The 24,522-nt window shown below is 37.3% G+C and overlaps 1 long non-coding RNA gene across 1 annotated transcript; it reads right to left on the bottom strand.

Annotated features, from left to right (window-relative positions):
- Positions 1 to 1,738: 1,738 nt before the first annotated feature.
- Positions 1,739 to 23,041, bottom strand: LINC00408 (long intergenic non-protein coding RNA 408). The gene is made up of 6 exons (NR_104118.1): positions 22,904 to 23,041; positions 22,370 to 22,453; positions 21,822 to 21,983; positions 20,678 to 20,845; positions 19,414 to 19,510; positions 1,739 to 2,170 (listed from the first exon to the last, which is right to left on the bottom strand). It is a non-coding gene; the product is annotated as a long intergenic non-protein coding RNA 408 (long non-coding RNA).
- Between the last annotated feature and the right edge of the window lie 1,481 nt (positions 23,042 to 24,522).

Raw genomic sequence — 24,522 nt, 5'->3', positions numbered from 1 at the left:
CCACCCCACAACAGGCCCCGGTGTGTAATGTTCCCCTTCCTGTGTCCAAATGTTCTCATTGTTCAATTCGCACCTATGAGTGAGAACAAGCGGTGTTTGATTTTTTGTCCTTGTGACAGTTTGCTGTAGGGACATGGATGAAGCTAGAGACAAGCCATTTTTAAAAGCCTTTTCAATTTCTCTTAAATAATAATTGGTGTCATTTATTATGTCACATTGGTGACATCTGTGAGCTGTCTTGAAAATTATGCCTGGAGCCCCAGTTGAATTTCCTCAGCTGACCTGATTGACATAGACAGAGATGAGACCTTCACACTGGGCCCTGCCCAAAGTTCAGTTTCAGGAACAAGATATAGTATTTTGTTTTAAGCCATGAAAGTTTAACAGGGAAGTTTGTAATGAAGAAACAAATAATAACAAACGATCTATCAAGCTAGAGAAAGATCCCATGCTCATTTCATTTTGTCTTACTTCACTAGTATTGCAAAGGGAAAGTGAGAAAGAAAAAGAAAGACAGAGGGAGAGAAAGAGAATCGAGAGAAAAAGAGAGAGACTCCAAACAAAATGATTATGTCTCAAAAGAAAATAAAATTTTTCATCTATTTGTCTAACACACACACACACACACACACACACACACACACACACACACACACAACTCTACTGCTTGGTATCCCATCGTTTTGTATCCCTGAGGATTTATTTGAGTCCTTGAGAAAGCCCCTTATGAACATTAGAGCTCCTCTTAGGGTTAGTGGGGAACGGGTATAACTGAGCTTTCCCTATAGACTAGAGTAAATGTGCTAAGCCAGAATGTCTTCTTCTTCCTCCTCCTCCTCTTCCTTATCTTTCTTCTCTCCTCCTCCTCTTCTAAATTTAAATAGTCTATATATGATTTTTATTTCTTATGTAATTGAGTTCCTAAATGTGTCCCAGGCTTAGTTTCTTCACACTCTTAAAAACCTATGCTTTCAGAAATCCTTAGGTTCTGGAGTCCCCTAGTCTTGGTTGGATATCTTCTTGTGCTATTTGCTATTTTTATGGCATTTGTCATTTACTAGCTGAATTAGTTCATTTCCTCACTGCTATGAAGAAAAACTGAAGACTTGTAATTTATAAGGAAAATAGATTTAATTGACTCGTAATTCCATTGGCTGTTAAGGAAGCATGATGCTGACACCTGCTCAGCTTTTGGGGAGGCCTCAGGAAATTTACAATCATGGCAGAAGGCAAAGGGGGAACAGCCCTTCACCTGGCTGCAGGAAGAGCAAGAGAGAGATGGGAAAGATGCCACAAACTTTTAAACAACCAAATGTCATGAAAACTCAACCACAAGACAGCACCAAAGGAATGGTGCTATACCATTCACGAGAACTCCACCTCCATAATTTAATCAGCTCCCACCAGGCCCCACTTCCAGCACTGGGGATTGCAATTCAACATGAGATTTGATGGGGTCAAAGATCCAAACCATATCATTAACCTTTTCTATGAATCAGGTTTTTTTAAAAAATCTGTTAATAATGGCACCTATATAATTTGCTTTGAGGATCTGATAAATTAAAATTATTTCTCAATAACAAAAATGTCCATGAAAAACTTGATTGAAAGTTAAATAAGATCCTTCTAAAGCTTCCAGTAAGCATCAGTTAATAAATGGTAGTTTCTGTTTCTCTTATTGTTTTTGTTAAAAACAATATCTTCTACATGTGAGTAATGGTAAAATGGGACAACAATGTGATTTGTTTCAAATAATTTATTTTTATGCTGGTATTTCCTACCTTAGAATAAATGAAAATATAAATTATTGAATCTGACAATAAATCATTATTTATAAATAAAAGCAGAATGGAAGATTAATTTCGGTTCAGATATTAAGAAGACTGAATAACTGATATGAAATATTCCTACACACTAGTTTTAAAATTATGTTCTACAAGGCAACTTTGAGGGTTTTTTGAAATGACATGTTTATGATAGACAAATGTATCATATGCTCTTATGAATATTCAATATGTCAGCAAAAGATCCAACTCTAAATTTTCATGTTAGAGTCAGCTTCCTAAGACCACTCTATGCATAACTGTGTTACACAGGTTTCCTGGAACAGACCTTGAAGTGGAGGATTGCAGGCAGAATCTTTGTTGTGGAGTGCTCTTGAGATACATATCTGTAAAGAAGTGAGAAATGCAGGATTAGACAGAGGGGGAAGCTGCCAAACAATAAGGTGACAATGGAGGATTCTGCTGATTCTATAAACAGCTCTGGACTTAAAATGAGCCTTCACACTGTTCCAAGTTGAGTTACAAGAGTTCAACTTTGGTATCCCCACCATAGGACAACAATGGACCTCGGGATGCATTCACACAATGGGCATAATCTTGACTATGCAGTTTCCTGTGGTTGAGGGCAATTCCTAATTGAGTGATGAAGCTGTAAATGGTCTTCCTCATAAACTGGGAAATGGGTTTCTTGGAGGCCCCGAAGAGGAAAACTGACAGAGTATCACAATAACAGCTACAATATCCTAGAAGGTCCCAATGATATACTACACTGTAATTAACACTGAAATTCTGGGAACTACTTTATCATTTCCAGTCACTATAGCTGCAAAGCTGGAAAGTAAACACTGTACATCAGATGATTGTTTTCCCATAGAATACAACAGGCTGAAGTTCCCTTCATTATACAAATTAATAAAATTCAAACTATATAAAATATATATTAGTCATCAATGATTAATTCATCTATATCTGGGTACCAAAGGTCTGGACTACTTAAACCATGTAGATTCAAAATTCTAGATTGGGAAAAATTATAAGGAAAACCTGAAGCTTTCATATAGTGTGAAAATTATTCAGCACATATGGGTAATTTTTGATGTTTGCAATAAGCAGGAAGATCTCTAATGGAGATGACTTTATGACTTTGTTTAGGAACAGCAGAAAAATAAACATTTTAAAGTGCTGTTATATAAAAATAAAACAACAGTTATTTCTCTATGTTTTGAAAGCTAAAACTAAATAAATGATAGTAGGAGCAGAGGTGCTTTGTTACAAGTGCTTCTCAAGCACTTACAATTAATACCTTTAATGGCGGAGGGAAAAAATACTGCTTCAACAATATAAAGATATAGCAGTTCACAGTGGCAACCAAGCAAGATGTTACTTTGAAATGCCCTGCTTTAACAGTATACCTGGGGACTTTGCATTCTCCTCTAAACTGGGTTTAATATAAAGCAAATCCCACCACAGCTGTCTTCAAGCTTTCTAGTAAAATGGCCCTCCAGAAAGATGATCTTTGGTGTTAACCCCTGTCAAAATGACAGCTCGCCAAATGGAGAAGTCAAATCCCAGAAAAAAACAATAGAAAGTTTCATAGAAGTTAGCGAAAAAAATAAAATTTTGAGTGTTAAATGATTCTCACATATTGAATACCATTTTACTTATTTTCTCTAACAAATCCATTCACCAGTATCATTATAATTTATGACCTTTCTTGTGGTACAATGCTGTCCTTTCATAAATGTACTTCAGTGAAGTAGGATTACTCCTGTATATTATTACTATGGATGCTACAGTCATGCTTTCTTTGTGCGCAAGTTGCCATGAGCTAAAGCCTCATTAAAAAAGGTAGATCTGTTTCTAGGTGTGTCTACTCCTATATTTTATCAAGTATGTATGTATGTATGTATCACAATATCTAAATATTAGCAAGCTTATGAGACAGTGATATTGATAACAATATCTTCAGTAGAATTAAGATTTATCTTCTTTGAGATCAGAAAATAAAACCATGTTAGATTTAGCTTAGAACATGCATACCTAAAAAAGATTGCTTAAATTAGCTTATAAGTGAGAACTGTGATAAGTATGTTAAGCAAACAACTTACTGGATGTTATTTCTTCCATTCTGTATACTCTTAACTACCACATATCATAAAGTCCTAAGAATCTAGTTTGGGAAAGTATAATAGAAGACTGAAGCAATTATTTAGATCATTTAATCTGAAAAAATCCCATCGTTGTGCCAATTCTTTGGTATTTCAAGGATAATAAGATCAATGTTTTCCATGATTATTGTTAGTATTATTTTATCATTAATTGTCATTAATTTATGATTTATTTAATACTTTCTTGACAATATCGGTATATCTTAAAATCCTGCTAAATTTTACAGGTGTAAATTCTGGATATTACTAAGCTGACCTAAATTACATATCTCCAAAAAGAAAAACTAAGGTGACAATACAGTTAAAACCAAATTTTAGTTTCAGATTCTAAGGAAATAATGTATAAATTTGAAAAATAGCTATGTTCTTATATAATTATAAAATAAAAATATTATTTCTACCTAAATTAAATATACAATGTATTAATCTAGATTAATGAACATGCTCCAAATACTGTGAACCAAATTACTATTTCCCATCTATTACAACATACGATTCCCATCTATTACAACATACGATTTTTTACTACTTTGTACGTTAAGTGTATTATTGAAATGTAACTATTATGTCTCCTTATATTTTCTGTGACATTTAAAACATTCTCATTATTTTAAAAAAATGTATGTGCTAATACTTATGAAAAGGCTTTTTTTTTGCCTGAGATTTCTATAACTGTGAAAAGCATAAGGGAGAATTTCCTTTCCAAAAACATGGACATTAATGAAGTTGTTTTTTGAGGCCTGTTCTTCATAACTGTTTTCTAGGTGATGGACTATTTATCAACTTGCTCCATAATCCGTTTAGAGTTAAAGAGGACCACAGAAACTCCACCTCCAGGTGTCACAGGTTACTAAACACAATAACTAAAACAAATTAAAAAACTTATCTCAGATTCCCTCCTGGAGTCTACTGCCTTGCTTATACAGTTGGACGACAAAGTCAGCCACTGCCTGAATTCATATTCTGCACTATGTGATTCAGGAAACAGTGAGTCCAAGCATTTCTTACTCTTAAAATTGTGTTCAATGTTTGCAGTCACTTTCCTATCCCTGATATTATCAGGAAAGGGGCTGCAATTTCCTTTATACTTCTCTGAGTCAACTGCAAAGACAAGAGAACAAGCAGCACCAATGAAAACCACGGGGTTCTATGGAGGCATCATGGGGTAGTGAGTAGAAGCATGCTGCTCAGCTGTATCTCACTGGCTTCAAATCCTGACTATACGGCGTATGGTGCATTAACAGCCAGCTGACCACAAAAATTTCTATGCTGGTAAAATAGGTTTATAATAATGCCAGTTAATCTAAAGATGATTTAAGTGAAGACTATTTGGTATTTTTCAAGGACTCAATAATCATTAACTGTGATCATGATCTTCCCCTTACCTACTTTCAATAAGTAAATAATTTACATTTATTAAACAAAAGAAATTTAATCTTGCTTTTCTGAAACAACACAATTCTATTTCAATTTTCTTTACATAGAAGGAGCATCTCACTGCAGATAAAGATATATGTATATTTTTTCTCCACTCAAAATTATGCTGAGACTCAAAAACAGAAATATCTAGTACGATATCAATTCATATATCAGTTATGTTTAGAGGGAGTTGGGCTAAACATACAGCATTCATTTAAAATGAAGGCCTCCCATCATACTTTGCTGATGGTATTTAAGTATTGAAAGCCAACTTTTTCTACCTGCTTACTATTATGTCATAGTAGCATGATTTCCCAGACAGCAGAGACTTTGTCTTTTTGTACATAGCTAGGCATTTGATGCTTATAACAGTGACTTCTCAATAATTATGCATTGCCAGGAAAGATAATTACTTTAAAAATTTATTTAGGAAATTATTCAGCAAATAGTAAATAAATAGTATTAGTTGGTTGCTATTATTTCTGAATATCTTCAGTTTCCCTCAATTTTCTCATCTGAAATGTGGAGACATGTATTTCACAGCAGCATTGTGAGAGACAATAGACTCAATATAGATTAAATTCTCCAAAGACCAACACTTTATCTAGCTCATATGTTCTGCATGAGTATTCATTTATTTAATTACTGTATCTTTTTAACTCATTATGACTAAAATTAAATATTTTTTTCTCTTTCAAGACGTTATGCTTCTCCTATGTTCCCAATATGCTGGACATCAGGTGTGGGTAATAACAGTACCATGATTTTCCTTTGGAGACTCCAAATCCTCAGTCCAAATGACTTTATTCCACTTATAACTCCATAGAAGCCATGAAATCCAGACCTCAGTACAGACGGTGACTTCCATGAACTTAGCTAAAATTTTTGGACAAAGTTTACTCCCTCTGGATTCTAAATGGATAGGGTAATGTTGCTGGCTCAGTGAAGCACCTTCTGAGCCTACTGAAGCAGGAGCCGATGCTGAGGCAGAACTGAAAGATGCAGAGGCAGAGTCCGGATAACACTGTCTGAACACCTGAAAACACACTGAACACTGATGAATTTTACTGTTCCGTTTTAGCCCAAGGTCAGTAAGCATCTTCTGTAAAGGGCTAGATTGCAAATATTTTAGGTTTTATGGAACATAAGGTTTGGGTGCAACTATTAAGCTCCAGTGTCGGATATGGCTGTGTTGCAATTAAACTTGATTTACAAAAACAGATGGCAAGACCAATTTGGCCGTGGATCATAGCTCATTGACTCCTGCCTTTTCCTGACAAAGTAGAGTTTCTTTACCTGGCAACCAAAGCAGTTAGTGTTAACTAATACCCCCTGTATCAGGCACTGGATTAACACATTTTTAAGCCAAAAATTTGAAAAATAATCATTTATACCTTTTCTCCGTTCCGTTGCAGCATAAATACAACATCACAAAGTATGTTTCTCTCAAATGTTTCCTTGGTCTATTTACTCTTTCCATTCCCACCTGTGTTATTTCAAATCACAATCATTTCCTGCTTAACATTCTATAAAAACTTTTTACATATTCATTTGAGTCCAGGATTCCTTTCAAATATTTTTCACACGGAAGGTCTTATTGTGACATCCTGCCTTGTTTTAACCTGAATTGACTCTCCCTTAGCTGAGAGAGCCACACAAACTCCAGTTTGGCTCCTTCACTTGCAGCCCCTTGCAGCCTCTTACCCACCCCCGTTCCTCAAGGACTTAACTTGTGCAGGCTGACTCCTAGCACATCAAAGAACCCAATTAACTGATAAGACACTGTGGCAAGCTATATCTGCAGTTCCCAGGAATTCGCCCAGCTGATAGGACCCAAAGCCCCCGCATTTGTGTCCAGTTGATAGCACCCAAAGTCCCCACGTCTATCACCTCATGATAGATTTAAAGCCCCTGCACCTGGAACTGTTTGTTTTCCCATAACCATTTGTCCTTTTAACTTTTTTGCCTGTTTTGCTTCTGTAAGATTGCTTCAGCCAAGCTCCTCCTCCCCTTTCTAAACCAAAGTATAAAAGAAAATCTAGCCCCTTCTCCGGGGCTGAGAGAATTTTGAGCACTAGCGGTCTCTCGGTTGCCAGCTAATAAAGGACTCCTGAATTCGTCTCACAGTGTGGGGTTTCTCTACAACTCGCTCAGTTACGACATTATGATATTTCCACAATACATATATTGGCATGCCGTGGTCATATCCAGGGGATTGTTTATGAACCTTTGACGTGGATGATGTCTCCTATCATAAAGTGCATATTATCTGACTTGTTTATTAAATTGTATCTTTTGTTTCTAGAATATAAATTATGTGAGGATCAGAGCAATTTTTTTTTGTTTATAGCTTTCTTCAATTGTCTATACATGTGGTTGATATAATGTGAATAACCCATATACATTTCTAAAAATAAGGCCAAATGACTCAGCAGGGAAAGTAAACATAAAAATAATGCATTTTTTTCTGAATCAATACAGACTTAAACCATATAATAAACTTCTGCATTTAGAAAACCATTAAGGTCTATAGCACATATTTACTATTCTATGGTAATCTCTTAGACTTATCTTGTGCCAACATACTAAAATTTTAATGGAATAAAAACAGAAAAGAGGTTTTCAAAAAATATTATTTTCATATACCTAATTTTCCAATTGTCTTTCTATTCCTGTTGGCTCTTAAAATTTATTTATTATTCAATGTCCAGTTCAAGTACAGATTCTTATTGTCTTTCTAATTTATTTCCTGTAGGGCTAGTTTGTTATTTTAGACACATTTTCTGTATCACACATTTTTATAGTTCATATTGTATGTAAACTGAATTGTTGCAGATTCTTCCTATGTGCATGTCTTTGATGCACATGTACAGTGAATGTTCCCAGAAAGTATTAATAGACAACACATTTTAACTTCTTTTTAAATCACCAATTTCAGTACAAAGCAGTGTGCACAGAAGATATTCACTAAATTCTTACTAAATGAGTGAATTTCATAGGAAATTGGAAAATGGACGATCATAAAATTACATCTGGAAGGAAATCATGCCCAGAAAATTTATCTGATGACTGCACACACAATTTTTGCTAACATTATGCTGAAGGAAACAAGTGTATGACAGTAACATGAAACATAGATGGTTGTTTACACTTCACATCATTCACTTGGTATTTTGGTGTGGAGAAATAATATTTGATCAAAACTTAATAGCATTTAAAATTGTCTATTGGATCTTTATTCTAACTAGTGATATGGATCACACAAAAGGTGTTTAGGTTCTTTCTTCCATGGCATGAGAATATTTTTAAAAATATATTTGGCTACTCAAAAAGTACAATGATATAAACAGAATATGGAAAATCAGGAGAAAAAACAGGAATTATAATTAATGACATAACATAAACCAAAAATGAAGTGCCAATCTCAAATCATTTTTTAAAATGTGTGGTCTGAAATAATCAAAACTGACTCTAGAAGAAATCAATACTAAAATATTTGTCATACAAATAATTAATGAGAAGGTTATCAAAGAACTTCATCAAAGAATTCCTCTAATAAAGTCCCTGGGCCCAGAATTCATAGCTCAGAAAGGAAAAGAAAGAATGCATAATTTCCTTAATGTATAAATGGATTCAAAACCAAAACATGAAAAAACTAGAAATTACTCATACAAAGCTAGCATAAACTAAAAAATAAGTGTACCTGAGTATGCTTATGCACACGTATGAGGGCATATGTGTACGTGTGCACACCTCACATGTGTATGCACTACACACGGTGAATTCTATTTAAAAACATAAATGCAGTTTATCTAGTAATAGAAAATAGCAGAAATTAAATCAACAAGTAATTATCTCAGGGATGTAGGATTTTCACTATTATATACATATCATAGATGTATGTGATCTGTGATCTGTGATCATTTGACTGGGGGCACAAAAACAAATGCTTAAATATTTCAGCATAATACAGCATTTACATCTGTGTGGTATAAATAATATTGAATAATATCATTGATTTGAAAGACCAAATTTGGCCGGGCACAGTGGCTCATGCCTGTAATCCCAGCACTTTGGGAGGCTGAGACGGGTGGATCACGAGGTCAGGAGTTCGAGACCATCCTGGCTAACACCGTGAAACCCCATCTCTACTAAAAATACAAAAAATTAGCCAGGTATGTGGCGGGCACCTGTAGTCCCAGCTGCTCGGGAGGCTGAGGGAGGAGAATGGCATGAACCCGGGGGTGGAGCTTGCAGTGAGCAGAGATCGCGCCACTGCACCCTAGCCTGGGTGACAGAGTGAGACTCCGTCCCACAAAAAAAAAAAAAAAATAAGACCAAATTTAACAAAATCTGAACTATAGTACACATATTTAGTCTTCCTCTTTCATTATTTAATTTTGCTATTCCATCATTATTGTCTGGTTTGAATTAACATGGTTATCATGTTTAGATAAATATAATATTTTTATAAGTATAGGCAGGGATCCATAAATTGGTAAGACATTTTACTGTTTTTAAATGTTTCTTTGTAATTCCCACTTCCACCCATCTAGTCTTCCATATAAACTTTAGAAAGAAATTATTAGGTTTCAAAAAGTATCCTAGATGGAACAGACTGATATTACTGTGAATTAATAGTAAAGGCCAGGCATGGAGGCTCATGCCTATGATCCCAGCAATTTGGGAGGCTGAGGCAGGTGGATCACTTGAGGTCAGAAGTTTGAAACAATCCTGGCCAAATGGTGGAACACTGTCTCTACTAAAAATACAAAAATTAGCTGGGTGTGGTGGCACGTGCCTGTAGTCCTAGCTACTCGGGAGGATGAGGCAGGAGAATGGCTTGAACCCGGGAGGCGGAGGTTGCAGTGAGCTGAGATGGTGCCACTGCGGGCTAGCCTGGTGATAACAGCGAGACCCTGTCTCAAAAAAAAAAAAAAAAAAAAAGAGAGAGAGACTGGAAAAAATTGAGGTCTTTAAATATTGACTTATGCCATGCATTAAAAGCAATTCTCTAATTTTTTCTTTTACATAGTTCAGTAAATTTTAATAGATTATATTCCATATTCCAATGTATTTATTGCTAATTTATTCCTAGGCAATTTGCACGTAGACATAAATTTCCTCTGTAAAATGAATTTCTTATATAATTTTCATTTTTCTTTTGATAATGTATAAGAAAGATGTTATTTGTTTTATGCTGACCTTACAATTAACCATGTTCTATACATTCTTATTAGTTCTTTTTTTTTTTGTTTTTTGAGACAGAGCCTGGCTCTGTCGCCCCGGCTGGAGTGCAGTGGCACGATCTCAACTCACTGCAACCTCTGCCTCCTGGGTCCAAGCAGTTCTCTGCCTCAGCATCCAGAGTAGCTGGGATTACAAGCACCCACCATCATGCCTCGCTAATTTTTGTATTTTTAGTAAAGACGAGGTTTCACCATCTTGGCCAGGCTACTCTTGAACTCATGACCTCATGATCCACCTGCCTCAGCCTCCCAAAGTGCTGGTATTACAGGCTTGAGCCACCATGCCCGGCCTAGTTCTTTTTATCTTAACCATATCATTATGACTTCTTCAATATATAAGAATCTAGATTCTTTCTGCTTGATATTCACTCTTTCATGTATTTTCTAGTTTTATTGCTCTTATTTTATTGAAAATCATCTCAAATTTTGCGTTTAAAATTAATTATAACAGGCATCCTAGTTTCCAAAATAAAAGATATCTTTCTAATGTTTTGCTTTAAACATAATATACAATATATTTCTCATAGATGCCCTCTATCCAAACAAGAACTTTCAATCTTACGGTTTCTAAGAATTATTATTAAAATTTGGAGTAAATATTTACTTTTTAGTGTATTTTTCTAAAACCATGGAGCTAAGTGTATAATCCTCCTTCCTTAATCTTTTAATATGACATGTTTACATACATTTTTTAAAGTTGTATTATCCTTGAGTTCCTGATGTGTTTTTGTAATAGAGTAAAAGCCTTACTTAATTTAAAATTTTCATTTTGGCATAATTTCTGACTTACAGAAAAGTTGACTTAATAATACCAATAATTACCGTGTATCAAAAGTCTCCAACTGTAACATTGTACTATAATTGTTTATCATTGTCTTTTTCCTTAAAAGACGCAGACGTTGTGTTCCTTCAAGGCATTCTCTTAAAGTTGTACTTGAATCAAAGAAAAAATTCACAGGGAAGTTGGAAAACCTTTCATACCGAAAAATAATGATACTACTATATATCACAACTTGTGGGATGCAAACATAGCAGTATTAAAAAATATTTATAGTCTTGTGTATTGATCCTAAAAAAGATAATGCAAAATCAATTATCTAAACATCCACGATAAGCTACAAAAACAGATTACATTAAAACTAAAGGAATAAGAATGGCAACAGCAAATATAAAAGTAGAAATTAAGGACAGAGAAAAATACAAGGAAAAATTTGTTCTGCGAAAGATTAACGTATTTGTTTGACATATGGTAAGTCTAATAACAAAACACACACACACACACACACACACACACACACACCCACCCCAATATAAAGAATTTTTAAAACAACATTAGTTACAGAATGTACAGAGGTTTATCGTTTATTTCCCAGATAGCTTGTGTTTTTCTAAGTATCTGATTTTTATTTATTAATAATTTAATATGCTTGTGATCAGAGAATGTACTTTCTATGATATAAAAAGTTCAAATATATTGAGACAATGTATAACTCATCATATATTCCATCTTGTTAAATGTTTGGTAACATTTACCAATGGAAAAATATATATATTTTGTTAATTGGTTATAAATGTCAAATATTTATTTGTTTTATTTTTTAACTATTCTTTTTTCGTACTGATATCTTATTCATTTGATCAAGTGGTGATGGAAAGGTGTTAAATTGTCTTTATTTTAATAGTTTTTAGAGGAAGAGGTGGTTTTTGGTTACATGATAAGTTATTTAGTAATGGTTTCTGAGATTTTGATGCACCCATCACCCAAGCAGTGTACACTGTGCAGAATGTGTGGTCTCCTTCACCCTCCTACCACCCTTCCTTTCAAGTCCCCAAAGTCCATTATATTATTCTTAGGATTTTGTGTCCTAAAAGCTTAGCTCCCATTTATAAGTAAGAATATGCAATGTTTGATTTTCCACTCCTGAGTTACTTCACTTAGAATAATAATCTCCAAGTCCATTCAGGTTGCTGCAAATGCCATTATTTCATGTTTTCTTCTTTTCTTTTCTTTTCTGGAGCCAAAGTCTCACTCTTGTTGCCCAAGCTAGAGTACAATGGCACGATCTTGGCTCACGGCAACCTCTGCCTCCCAGGTTCACGCAATTCTCCTGCCTCAGCCTCCCAAGTAGCTGGTCTTACACGTGTCTGCCACCACACCCAGCTAATTGTTGTATATTTAGTAGAGATGGGGTTTCACCATGTTGACCGGGCTGGTCTTGAACTCCTGACCTTAGATGATCTGCCTACTTTGGTCTCCCAAAGTGCTGGGATTACAGGCATAAGCCACCATGCCCGGCCTATTATTTTATTTCTTTTTATGGCTGGGTAGTATTCCATGCCACATTTTCTTTATCTATTCATTGGTTGATGGGTATTTAGACTGGTTCCCTATTTTTACAATTGCAAACTGTGCTGCTGTAAACATGCATGTGCATGTCTTCTTCATATAATGACATATTTTCCTCTAGGTAGATACCCAGTAGCGGGATTGCTGAATCAAATGGAGGTTCTACTTTCAGTTCTCTAAGGAACCTCCATACTGTTTTCCACAGTGGTTATACTAGTTTACATTCCCACCATTAATGCAAAAGTGTTCCCTTTTCACCACATCCATGTCAGTATCTATTATATTTTGATTTTTAAAGTATGGCCATTCTTGCAAGAATAAGGTGATATCTCACTATGTTTTTACTTTGCATTTCCCTGATAATTAGTGATGCTGAGCATTTTTTTCATATATTTGTTGGCCATTTGTATATCTTCTTTTAAGAATTTTCTATTCATGTCCTTAGCCCACTTTTTGATGGACTTTTTTTTGTCTTGCTGATTTGTTTGAGTTCCTTGTGGATTCTGGATATGAGTTTTTGACAGATGTATAGATTGCAAAGATTTTCTCCTACTCTATGTGTTGTCTGTTTGCTGATTATTTCCTTTTGCTGTGCAGAAGCTTTTTAGTCTGATTATGTTCAACCTATTTATCTTTGTTTTTGTTGTGTTTGATTTTGGTTTCTTGGTCATGAAGAACCAAGCCGATGTTTTTAATGTTTTTTCCAATGTTATCTTGTAGAAATTTTATGGTTTATGATATTAGATTTAAGTCTTCGATCCATCTTGAGTCGATTTTTGTATAAGATGAGAGATGAGAATTCAGTTTCATTCTTCTTCATGTGGCTTTCCAAATATTCCATTCCCATTTGTTGAATAGGGTGTCTTTTCCAAACTTTATGTTTTTATTTGCTTTGACGAAGACCAGTTGGCTGCTAAGTGTTTGGTTTCATTTCTGGGTTCTCTATTCTCTTTCATTGGTCTATGTACCTATTTTTATACCAGTACCATGTTGTTTCGGTAAGGATAGCCTTGTAATATAGTTTGAAGTTGGGTAATGTGATACATCCAGATTTATTATTTTTGTTTGGTCTTGCTGTGGCTAGGCAGGCTCTTTTTTTGGTTCTATATGAATTTTAGGATTGTTTTTTCTAGTTTTGTGAAGAATGATGATGGTATTTTGATGAGAATTGCATTGAATCTGTATATTGCTTTGGAGAGTATGGTCATTTTCACAATACTGATTCTACCCATCCATTAGCATGAGATGTGTTATCTATTTGTTTCTGTGGTCAATGATTCAGCAGTGTTTTGCAATTTTCCTTGAAGAGATCTTTCACCTCCTTGGCTTTGGATGTTCCTAAGAGATACATATGTATATAATATGTATAGTATAATATATATATACATATGGCTATAATATGTATAGTATAATACATATACATGTCTATAATATGTATAGTATAATACATATACATATGTCTATAATATGTATAATACATATACATATCTATATAATAGGTATAGTATAATACTTATACATATGTATATAATACGTATATATATGTGTGTGTTTATATATATATATTGCAGTTGTTGTAAAAGGGATTAAGTTCTTGATTTGATTCTCAGCTTGATTGTTGTTGGTGTATAGCAGTGCTAATGATCTGTGTATATTGATGTTTTGTGTCCTCAAACTTAAGTGAATTTATCAGATCTAGGAGCTCTTTAGATGAGTCTTTAGAGTTGTCTAGATACACAATTATATCATTGGAAATCAGTGACAGTTTGACCTCCTCTTTACTGACTTGGATGCCCTTTCTTTCTTTTGTCTGATTGCTCTGGCTAGGACTTCCAGAACTATGGTTAATAGATGTGGTGAGTGGGCATCATATTCTCACGGGGAATGCTTTTAAAATTGCCCTGTTCAGTCTGATGTCAGCTGTGGGTTTGTTATAGATGGCTTGTATCACCTAGAGGTATGCCCCTTCTATGCCAAATTTGCTGAGAATTTTAACCATAAAGGGATTCTGAATTTTGCCAAATCCTTTTTCTGTCTATTGAGATGATCATATAATTTTTGTTTTTAATTATGTTTATGTGATGTATCACCTTTATGACTTGTTTATGTTAAACTATCCCTGCATCCCTGGTATAAACCCCACTTGAAATCTTTAGATGATGAATTTGGCTGTTCTTTTTTAGCTACGTAAAATTTTACTTTATATAATTTGAAGTTATATTATTAAGAGCATATGCATTTCAAATTGTTTTGTCTTTTAAATGAATCAATTATTTTATCATTATAAAATGTTTCTCTTTCTCTTTTGTACTGTTTTTCCTGTAAAGTCTACTTTGGCTGGTATTCACATTAGAAGTCACATGTTTTTATAACACTGGAACTTATTGCAGACACATGGCATAATAAGGACTAGGTTTGTACTCTTGCCTTAAATAAACTAAGAAATTTTTGATAAAATATACATATCAATGGTCTTCAGACAGTGAACATCAGATAGTATAGGACAGTGACCTCAAAACAGGGAAAATGAAGGTATGAACTAAATCATCCATCCATCTTATTGCCTTCATTGAACACAGAATAATTTTTCTGAGATTGGATCAATAGAAGTATAATCACAAATACAAGCAGATGGATATAGCACATTGAAGAGGTATTACATTTTTTATGCACATGAAACAGTATCAAAATGAGTTAAATTTACATTTAAATCTTTAATTCATCTTGAGTCAATTTTTTGTATATGATGTAAAGAAGGGGTCAGTTTTAATTTTCTATGTGGCTAGCCTCTTATCCCAGCATCGATTATTTAATAGGGAGAACTTTCCCCATTACTTGATTTCATCTGGTTTGTCAAAGATCAGATGTTTGTAGATGTATGGTCTTATTTCCGAGTTCTCTATTCTGTTCCACTGGTTTATGTGTCTGTTCTTGTACAAATACCATGCTGTCTGGCTTACTGTAGTTCTGTAGTATAGTTTAAAGTTGAGTAGTGTGATACCTCCAGCTTTTTTCTTTTTGCTTAGGATTGCCTTGGCTATTTGGGCTTTTTTATGATTCCATATGAATTTTAAAACAGATTTTTCTAGTTCTGCGAAGAATGTCAGTAGTAGTATAATGGGAATAGCATTGAGTCTATAAATTGTTTTGGGCAGTATGGCCATTTTAACAATATTGATTCTTCTTATCCACGAACATGGAATGCTTTTCATATTTATTTGTGTCATCTCTGAGTTCCTTGGGCAGTGGTTTGTGGACTGTAAAAACTTTGGAAGACCACCTAGGCTATACTACTCAGAACACAGGCATGAGCAAAGATTTCATGATAAAAACACCAAAAGCAATTGCGACAAAAGCAAAAGTTGACAAATGGGATCTAATTAAATTAAAGAGCTTCTGCACAGCAAAAAGAAAAATAAACTATCACCAGAACGAACAGATACCTACAGATGGATAAAATTTTGGCAAAAATATGCATCTGACAAAAGTCTAACATCCAGCATCTACAAGGAACTTAACCAAAGTTACAAGAAAAAAACACGGCCATTAAAAAGTGGGCAAAGGACATGAACAGACACTTCTCAAAAGATGACATACATGTGGTCAACAAGCATATTAAAAAAGTTCAACATCGCTGATCATTAGAGAAATGCAAATCAAACCCACAATAAGATACCAACTCATGCCAGTAAGAATGGCTATTACTAAAAAGTTAAAAAGCAGATGCTGGTGAGATTGTGGGGAGAAGGGAACACTTTACATGGTTGGTGGGAGTGTAAATTAGTTCAACCATTGTGGAAGACAATGTGGTAATTCCTCAAAGACCTAAAGACAGAATTACCATTCGACACAGCAATCCCATTAATGGGTATGTATATGCCTAAAGGATTATAAATTGTTCTATTGCAAAGACACATGCATGCCTATGTTCGTCGCAGCACTATTCACAATAGCAAATACATGGAATTAATCTATATGCCCATCAATGATAGACTGGATAAAGAAAATGTGGTGGTACATATACACCATGGAATACCGTGCAACCACACCAAAAAAATGAGATAATGTCCTTTGCAGGGACATGGATGGAGTTGGAGGTCATTATTCTAAGCAAACTAAAGCAGGAACAGAAAACCAAATACTGCATGTTCTCACTTTTAAGTGGAAGCTAAATGATGAGAACATGGACACACAGAGAAGAACAACACACACTAGGGCCTATCAGAGAGTGGAGGGTTGGGGGAGGGAGAGAAGCTGGAAACATAACTAACAGATACTAGGCTTAATACCTGCATGATGCAATAATCTGTACAATCAACCCCAATAATGCACGTTTACTTATGTAACAAACCTGCATATCTTACACATGCACCCCAATCTAAAAATAGAAGTTTAAAAAAGAACAAAATGAGTTAAATTATTGGAAAATTATTTCAAATCAAATTACACATAGCAACGTGTTAAGATCTACTCACTGTAAAGAGCTCTTTTACTCATCTGACAAGCATTTAGTGTAAGTGTTCTATTCGCTAGGCCATAGGAACTAGAGGCTGGAAAAAGAATGGTGAAGAAAATGCCCATGCCATTAAGAAATTTGTGTGTGTGTGTGTGTGTGTGTGTGTGTATATATATACAAATTAAGACATTATTGAACAAAGGTGCAAACAGCAATTAACAATAACAAAAGGCTAAAATACAAAATTATTAAAATAATAATAACCCAACAATTTTTAAATTGGGAGGCAATATAAAAAGATATTGAAGAGATCCAAATGTCAACGTGTGTGTGTGTTGGCGGGGATAGAGTTACGGGGTAATAAATGTTTATAGCTTTTTGTTTCTCTCTTTTTTGTTCTTTGCAATCAAACTTAAGTTTTCTTCAGTTTGAAATCACTTGTTACAATGATATTCTTTAGCCTCATGGTAACCAGAAAATAAAATTCAGTAACAGACACCCTAAAAGTAATAGACACCTAAAAAGCAAGGAATTAAATCACACTCCCAGAGAAAATTACCTCACTATAAATACAGACAGGAAGAAAGGGAAGGAGGGAGGAAAGGAAAGGAAGAAAGAACTAAGGAGAGAGAGAAGAGAAAGAGGAAGAAATGAAGAGAGAAATAACAGAAGAAAAAAGAGAGTAGCAAAACGACCAGAAAATAAGTGGCAGTAGTATGTTTTTACCTGTAATAACCTTGAATATAAATGAATTAAATTCTCCAATTAAGACAGAGTGGCTGAATGGATTTAAAGACAAGATCCAACTATATACTGCCTACAAGAAACTCAGTTCACCTAAAAAGACATACATAGATTGAAAATGAAGGGATGGTAAAAGATATCCCATACAAATGGAAACAAAAAAGCAAGAGTAGCTATACTTGTATTAGATAAAATAGAAAGATAATTCTATAATGAGAAAGAAATCAATACAGCAATATCACAATTATAAGTGCAAATGCAACCAACACTCAAGCACCTAAACACAGAAGCAAATATTAACAGACCTTAAAGGACAGATGGACTGCAATACAATAATAGAGTACCTGAACACTAATCTATAATGAACACTCCACTATCATCAATGAACAGATCATCCAGATGACAAAAAATCATCAGTTAAACTGTAATCTCTATGGAATGGACCTAACATTTACACAGCCTTCCACTCTGCAACTGCACAATGCACATTCTACTGAGTAGCACATGGATTATTCTCCAGGACAGACTATGTGTTAGGCCAAATAACAAGTCACAGCCCATTTTTAAATACTGAATTCATATCAAGCATCTTTTCTGATCACAGTGGAATAGGAGGAGAAATCAATAACAGGAGGAACTTTAAAAACTGTACAAACATATGGAAATTAAAATACATGTTCATGAACGATGAATAAAGAAATAAAAAAATTAAATATTTATTGAAATAAATAAAAAGAGAAACACAACATAACAAAACCTGTGGGATGCAGCAAAAGCAGCTGTAAGAGGAAAAGTGCATAGCTATAAATGCCTACATCAGAAAAGTAAAAAGATCTCAAATAGCCAACCTAACAATACACCTCAAGCAATGAGAAAAACAAAAAAACAAATGTTAACATTAGTAGAAAGACTATCAGAAAGATTAGAACAGAAATTTTACAAATAGAAACAAAAAAATACAAAATACAAAAAAATACAAACAGTCAATGGAAAAAAGAGCTGGGGGTTTTTGGAAAAAAAATCAAAATTGACAAGCTTTAACTAAACTAAGGAAAAGAGAAAGAATACTGAAATAAAATCATAGATGAGGGTAGGCATGGTGGCTCACACCTGGGATCCTAGCACTTTGGGAGGCCGAGGCCTTTTGGATCACTTGAGGTCAGGAGTTCGAGATGAGCCTGGCCAACACGGTGAACTCTCTCTGCTAAAAAACACAAAAAAGTTACCTGGGTGTGGTGGGAGGTACCTGTAATCCAGCTACTGAGGAGGCTGAGGGAAGAGAATGGCTTGAACCCGGGAGGTGGAGGTTGCAGTGAGTCAAGATCATGCCACTGCACTCCAACCTGGATCACAGAGGGAGACTCTCTATGACATGCTTGAACTTTCTGACTTGTCCTATCTTTCCCTATTTCCTAAATAATTAGTCATTCTACTTTAGGACAAGAATTTGCCATACAAGATCCTCTCTCATATAACATTTCTTCATAACATTTCTAACCATAAACACATCTTCATATCCACAATTTTCTTTGTATCTCTCCTCCCTACTAATTTCTTATGCCCACCCAAATCAAACAAGATCAGGTAATGCAAGGCAAAACAGTACAGCCTTAGATTTTGAGAGGGACCTGTCTGCTTACAGTTCTTGGGATTCCATGAGGAAAAGAGAGGTTTCTCCTAAAAGGGGGTCTGTGGCACCTTCTGTTTTTCCCATGGAGTCTCAGGCTGCCAGAAATTATCTCAGGTCCTCTCATGTGGGCATCGAGAGTGGCAACAAGACAGACTAGGAAAGTAATTCAGACAACTAAGAAGAAAAAGAAAAACTTAGTACTACTTTCATTGTAAAGACAGATAAACTGAGGCACCATGCAGTTTAAAATTTTATGTTTACATAGTGTTAGACTCCACAGCTCTCTTTTAACCATCCTGTAATTTTGCTGACTCTATGCCCAGTCACTGATTCACTTGTATGGTAGCTTATGGCCCCCTTAGAGCTTGGAACCTGGGTTTCATTTCCTGCTCTACAGCTATATAATTTAACAATTTTCCTCTGGATTTGTTGGATTCTAACGCTATATATCCCAAATTTTATTAATATTACTGAATATTAATGGAGGCTGTGCTATCTTTAGTCTGTAGAAATATTAAGCAACCTACAAAGGACTATATGAGGTTAAATAGTATTAATATTTCTATATGCTTTAAAACATTGAGGCAATGTATTGAGGAACACACCTAAGAAACTGCAACCAATCCACTCTGGACAAAAATTTAGACACTATCTCTTCAACATAAGCTATCTAGTGGCATTTTTACATATCCTTACACATATCAACAGTATTTTACATGCTCATAACCTTAAAAATAAAAAGTGTCAAAATTATAGACTTTATGCATTCCTGTGGGCTTGAAAAATGATACAATATAGATTGTTTCTTTAAAGTAGTCAATAAAATGCATAAACTTCAAGTAATCACTAAAAAAAGATTTCATACCAAAGGTAGTAATACCAGAAATAAAAAAGGGCTCAACACTGCAGGTTCTTGAAGGCAAAAGTTAATAAAGACTTTGTTCTTGTTGTGAATCTTGGCCTTAAAACATTATACACATGATCCTCCCTTCCTTTTCCTGTTGCAAAGATGTGATGAACCAGATTTGCTCATGCAGATGACAATACTCTTGAAAATGGTGGCAGAGAAATAAAATGAAAGGAATACAGTTCACTTAATGATCTCATAAATTGGAACTAATTACCCCCTGACTCTTGCATAGCTCCAGACTATGTGAGAGAGATGAAATGGCTGTTTGCTAGCAATATTTTATCTGATGCTTCATTTTTGATTCCTTGAATAACTACTTACAACACATTAAAAGGATCATGAAAGCATAGCTATTCAAGTAACCAAATAATTACGCAATCAATGTTTTTCCTCATCTCTAAAGCATAGTAATGGACTGATTATTTTAAGAATACAACTCGGTGACAAGTAGTTTATGTTTAACTCAGTTTTGGTTTGTTGTTTGTTAAGGCCATTGCTTAGGATAATGAAAACAAGAGGAGGAGAAACAAGAATATAAACAAGAAACAGAAGCAGCAGCATAAGAAAATGAAGAGGAACAAGAAGATGATGATTAGAAGAAGAAAAAACAGACTGAAAGAAAGGAAGAACAGGTGCGGGAATTACAAAGCCTATTATGATACCTTATTTCCCCTCCTGATTTATGAAATTTGAAAAAAATTCAAGACTTTTCACAACAAAGCCAAGCTAAAAGATACACCAATAGTCACCCGCTAAATTTTGCTAAGAATAAGACAATGTTGCCACTCACACCTGGCCCAGGCACCAGCAGGAGGAGGGCACTTCCAGATTCTGCAGGAGAAGGAGGAGGACTCCTCCTTGCCATGGCTGGGCCTCCACTGCTGCCACCTAGGCCCACAGTACAGCACCCGCAGCTGCCTCCCCACTTCAGGCCAGGCTGGGCCCGGTGGGCTCCACAGCATTCCCACTCCCACTTCTCGGATCCCAGACTTGCTGCTGCCGCCACCACTAATGCCAACACCAACATGAGCACCGCTGCTGTTGCCCTCAATGCACCGGCCCACCCTACAAGCCTCCTACCACCTCCAGGAGGCCCCCGCAGACACTCTCCTACCACTCCACCACTCTGGTCAAGCTGCAGTCTCTGTCTCTGCCACCAACTGCAGCGAGGTGAGCCACAGAACCATGCCATCTGCAGGCTCCAGCCTCCAGCGTGCAACAGATGACTCCTCCATCTCCTGGCTCGAAGCAACTGGGTGGTAAAAGCCAGACGTGCCTAGAACAGGATGCAGGGAGTGGTAGTGTTAGAGGCTCACCTTGTCATGCTGGCCACTGGGTGGCAGGGGCTGGTTTCATCAAAGGCACAACTGGGACCTGGGGTGGGTGTGACTGCCTTTGCTGAAACCGGCCCCTGGCGAGGTCCAGCTGGCCAGGAACTGCTGGGCCCACGCTGGCTGCACTCCTTGGTGAGCAGGAGAAGCAGAAACTCAGACCCAGCTAGCTCTCTCCAACCAAGTGCCAGTTCCTGTTTCTGATGCCTCCACCCACAGGACCCTGTTCCCCCGTGGTGCCCAATACTCCGTGCCCAGGGGTCCCAGATTGTCTCTGCAACACAGTGAGAAGGGGCAGGCCCGGGAACCATGGCGGGTGTGGGGGCCTTACCCTGCTGAGGATTCCCAAGGAAACATTGTGCACCTGCCACGCTCCAGCATGAGCAAACAGAGGTTGCCCTCTAGAATCTAGAGTCTGGGAAGAGGAGGACGGCCCCTTCCTTGGAGGCCACAGCTATCGCAGCCACCCCCGTAGCCCGTTGCCAGAAGCAGCAGTGCAGTGCAACCCCCAATAGTGCCCCCCCACCGGCATGCCACAGGGCATGTAAACCTGATAGTGCCCCCAAACTGCCCCACTGCCCCCAGCAGTGCAGCCAGGGATAGTGCCCCCAACCAGCCCTTGCTGGGGGTAGTGACAGCCCAGATAGTGCCCCCAACCTGCCCCCCTGCCATGACAGTGCAGGAGCTGATAGCACCCCTAACCCTCCCCCTAGCTGGCGGTCAGCCCCCTTAGTACACACAACCACCCCCACCACCAGGCAGTATAGCCCCCACCAACTCCGCCAACCCATGCCCCCGATACCCCACCGGCAATGTGACCTTGATAGTGCTCCTACCCAGGGTAGCGCATCCCTGGATAGCTCACCTACCCTGCCACCTTTCTACCATGCTGGCCAAGCTGCAACCTCCATCACCTCCACCAACCGCAGTGAGGTGAGCCTAGATACCACAGGCTCAAGCCGCCAGCTCGGGGTATGTGGCTCCCACTTCCTGTTCTCTAAGCTGAGCTCCCAGCTTCGATTCTGATTGGATGAGAGCAAGTCTTAGGACAACCAATCACAGCATGAAAATAAAGTCCAATCAGAATAGGCCTAGAGGTTTTCTCTCATCCAATCAGAATATGTAGTCCAGGAACCTCATTTGCATAAGCTCATGTATAAGGCATGCAGAAGGGGCATCAGGCCATTCCAGGCTCTTGTGTGGCTGCCTGCGCAGCTGCTCCGTGCCAGGCTTAGAGGACCAGGAGAAGGGGTAGTCACTTGCCACAGCTGGAGGCTGGAGCGTGTGGCACCACGGCTCGCCTCGCTGTGGTGGGTGCTGGCGACAGAGACGGCAGCTCGGCTGGAGTGGTAGGAGGGGGTACATAGTTTTTGGGTAGATGGAGGGATAAAGAGGGTGGCTAGCAGCAAAGGGAAAAGAGGATGGCAAGCAGGAGAAGGCATTGCAAAAAGACGGTGGGGAAAAGATGGTTGAAAAAAGTTTTTGGGTATCTAGGGGGTAAAAAAGGGTGGCATGTAGAAGGAGGAAAGACAGGGTGGTGGGGGGGGAAAACGGGGACAAGTAGGAAGGAGAGAAGGTTTGCAAAAAGACGGTGGGGAGAAACACGGTGAGGAGAACAGAAAGACTGGGGAAAGAAAAGATGTGTAAAAAGATTTTGGGTAGATGGAGGTGGGAAAGGGTGGCACGTGGGAGGAAGAAAGAGGGTGCAGAGAGGGAGGGGGAAGACAGAAGGTGGTGAGCAGGAGGGAGAGAAGATTTTGTGAAAAGTCGGTGGGGACAAGATGGTGGGGAAATACTTTTTTTTCAGTAGATGGAGAAAAAAGGGTGGTGATCAGGAGAAGAAAAAAGGGTGGCGAGTAGGAGGAAGGAGAAGGTTTTGCAAAAAGACGGTGGGAAGAAAAGACAGTGGGGAGAAAAAACTGGGGGAGAAGCTTTTGGGTAGATGGAGGAGAGAAAGGGTGGCAAGCGGGAGAGTGGAAGGAGGATTGGGAAAACGACGATGGAAAAATAGTTTTGGGGTAGATGGAGGGCGACAGGAAGGTGGCATGTAAGAGGAGGGGCAGGAATGAGGAAAAGAGGGTGGTGAGCAGGAGGGACAAAAGAGGGTGGCAAGCAGAGGGAGACAAGGTTTTGCCAAAAGACCGTGAGGAAAAGACAGTGGGGAGAGAAAAGTTTTTCGGTACATGGAGGGGGAAAAGAGGGTGGCAAGCGGGAGAGGGGAAAAGAGGATGGCGAGTGGGAGGGAGACAAGGTTTTGTGAAAAGATGGTGGGCAGAAAAGACAGATGGTGGGGAAAGAAAAGACAGACGGTGGGTAAAATGTGGGTAGACGCAGCGGGAAAAGAGGGTGGCAAGTGGAAGGAGAAAAGAGGGTGGCGAGAGGGAGGAGGGAAAAAGTTGGGGAAAAGACGATGGGGAAAATAGTTTTGGGGTAGATGGAGGGCAAAAGGAGGATGGTAAGGATAGAGGAAAGAAGAGGGCGAGT

Source organism: Homo sapiens, chromosome 13, assembly GCF_000001405.40.
Source record: "Homo sapiens chromosome 13, GRCh38.p14 Primary Assembly".
Classification (NCBI taxonomy): Eukaryota; Metazoa; Chordata; class Mammalia; order Primates; family Hominidae; genus Homo; species Homo sapiens.
The sequence above is the reverse complement of the archived record's forward strand: the minus strand, read 5'-3'. Positions and strand labels throughout refer to the sequence as shown.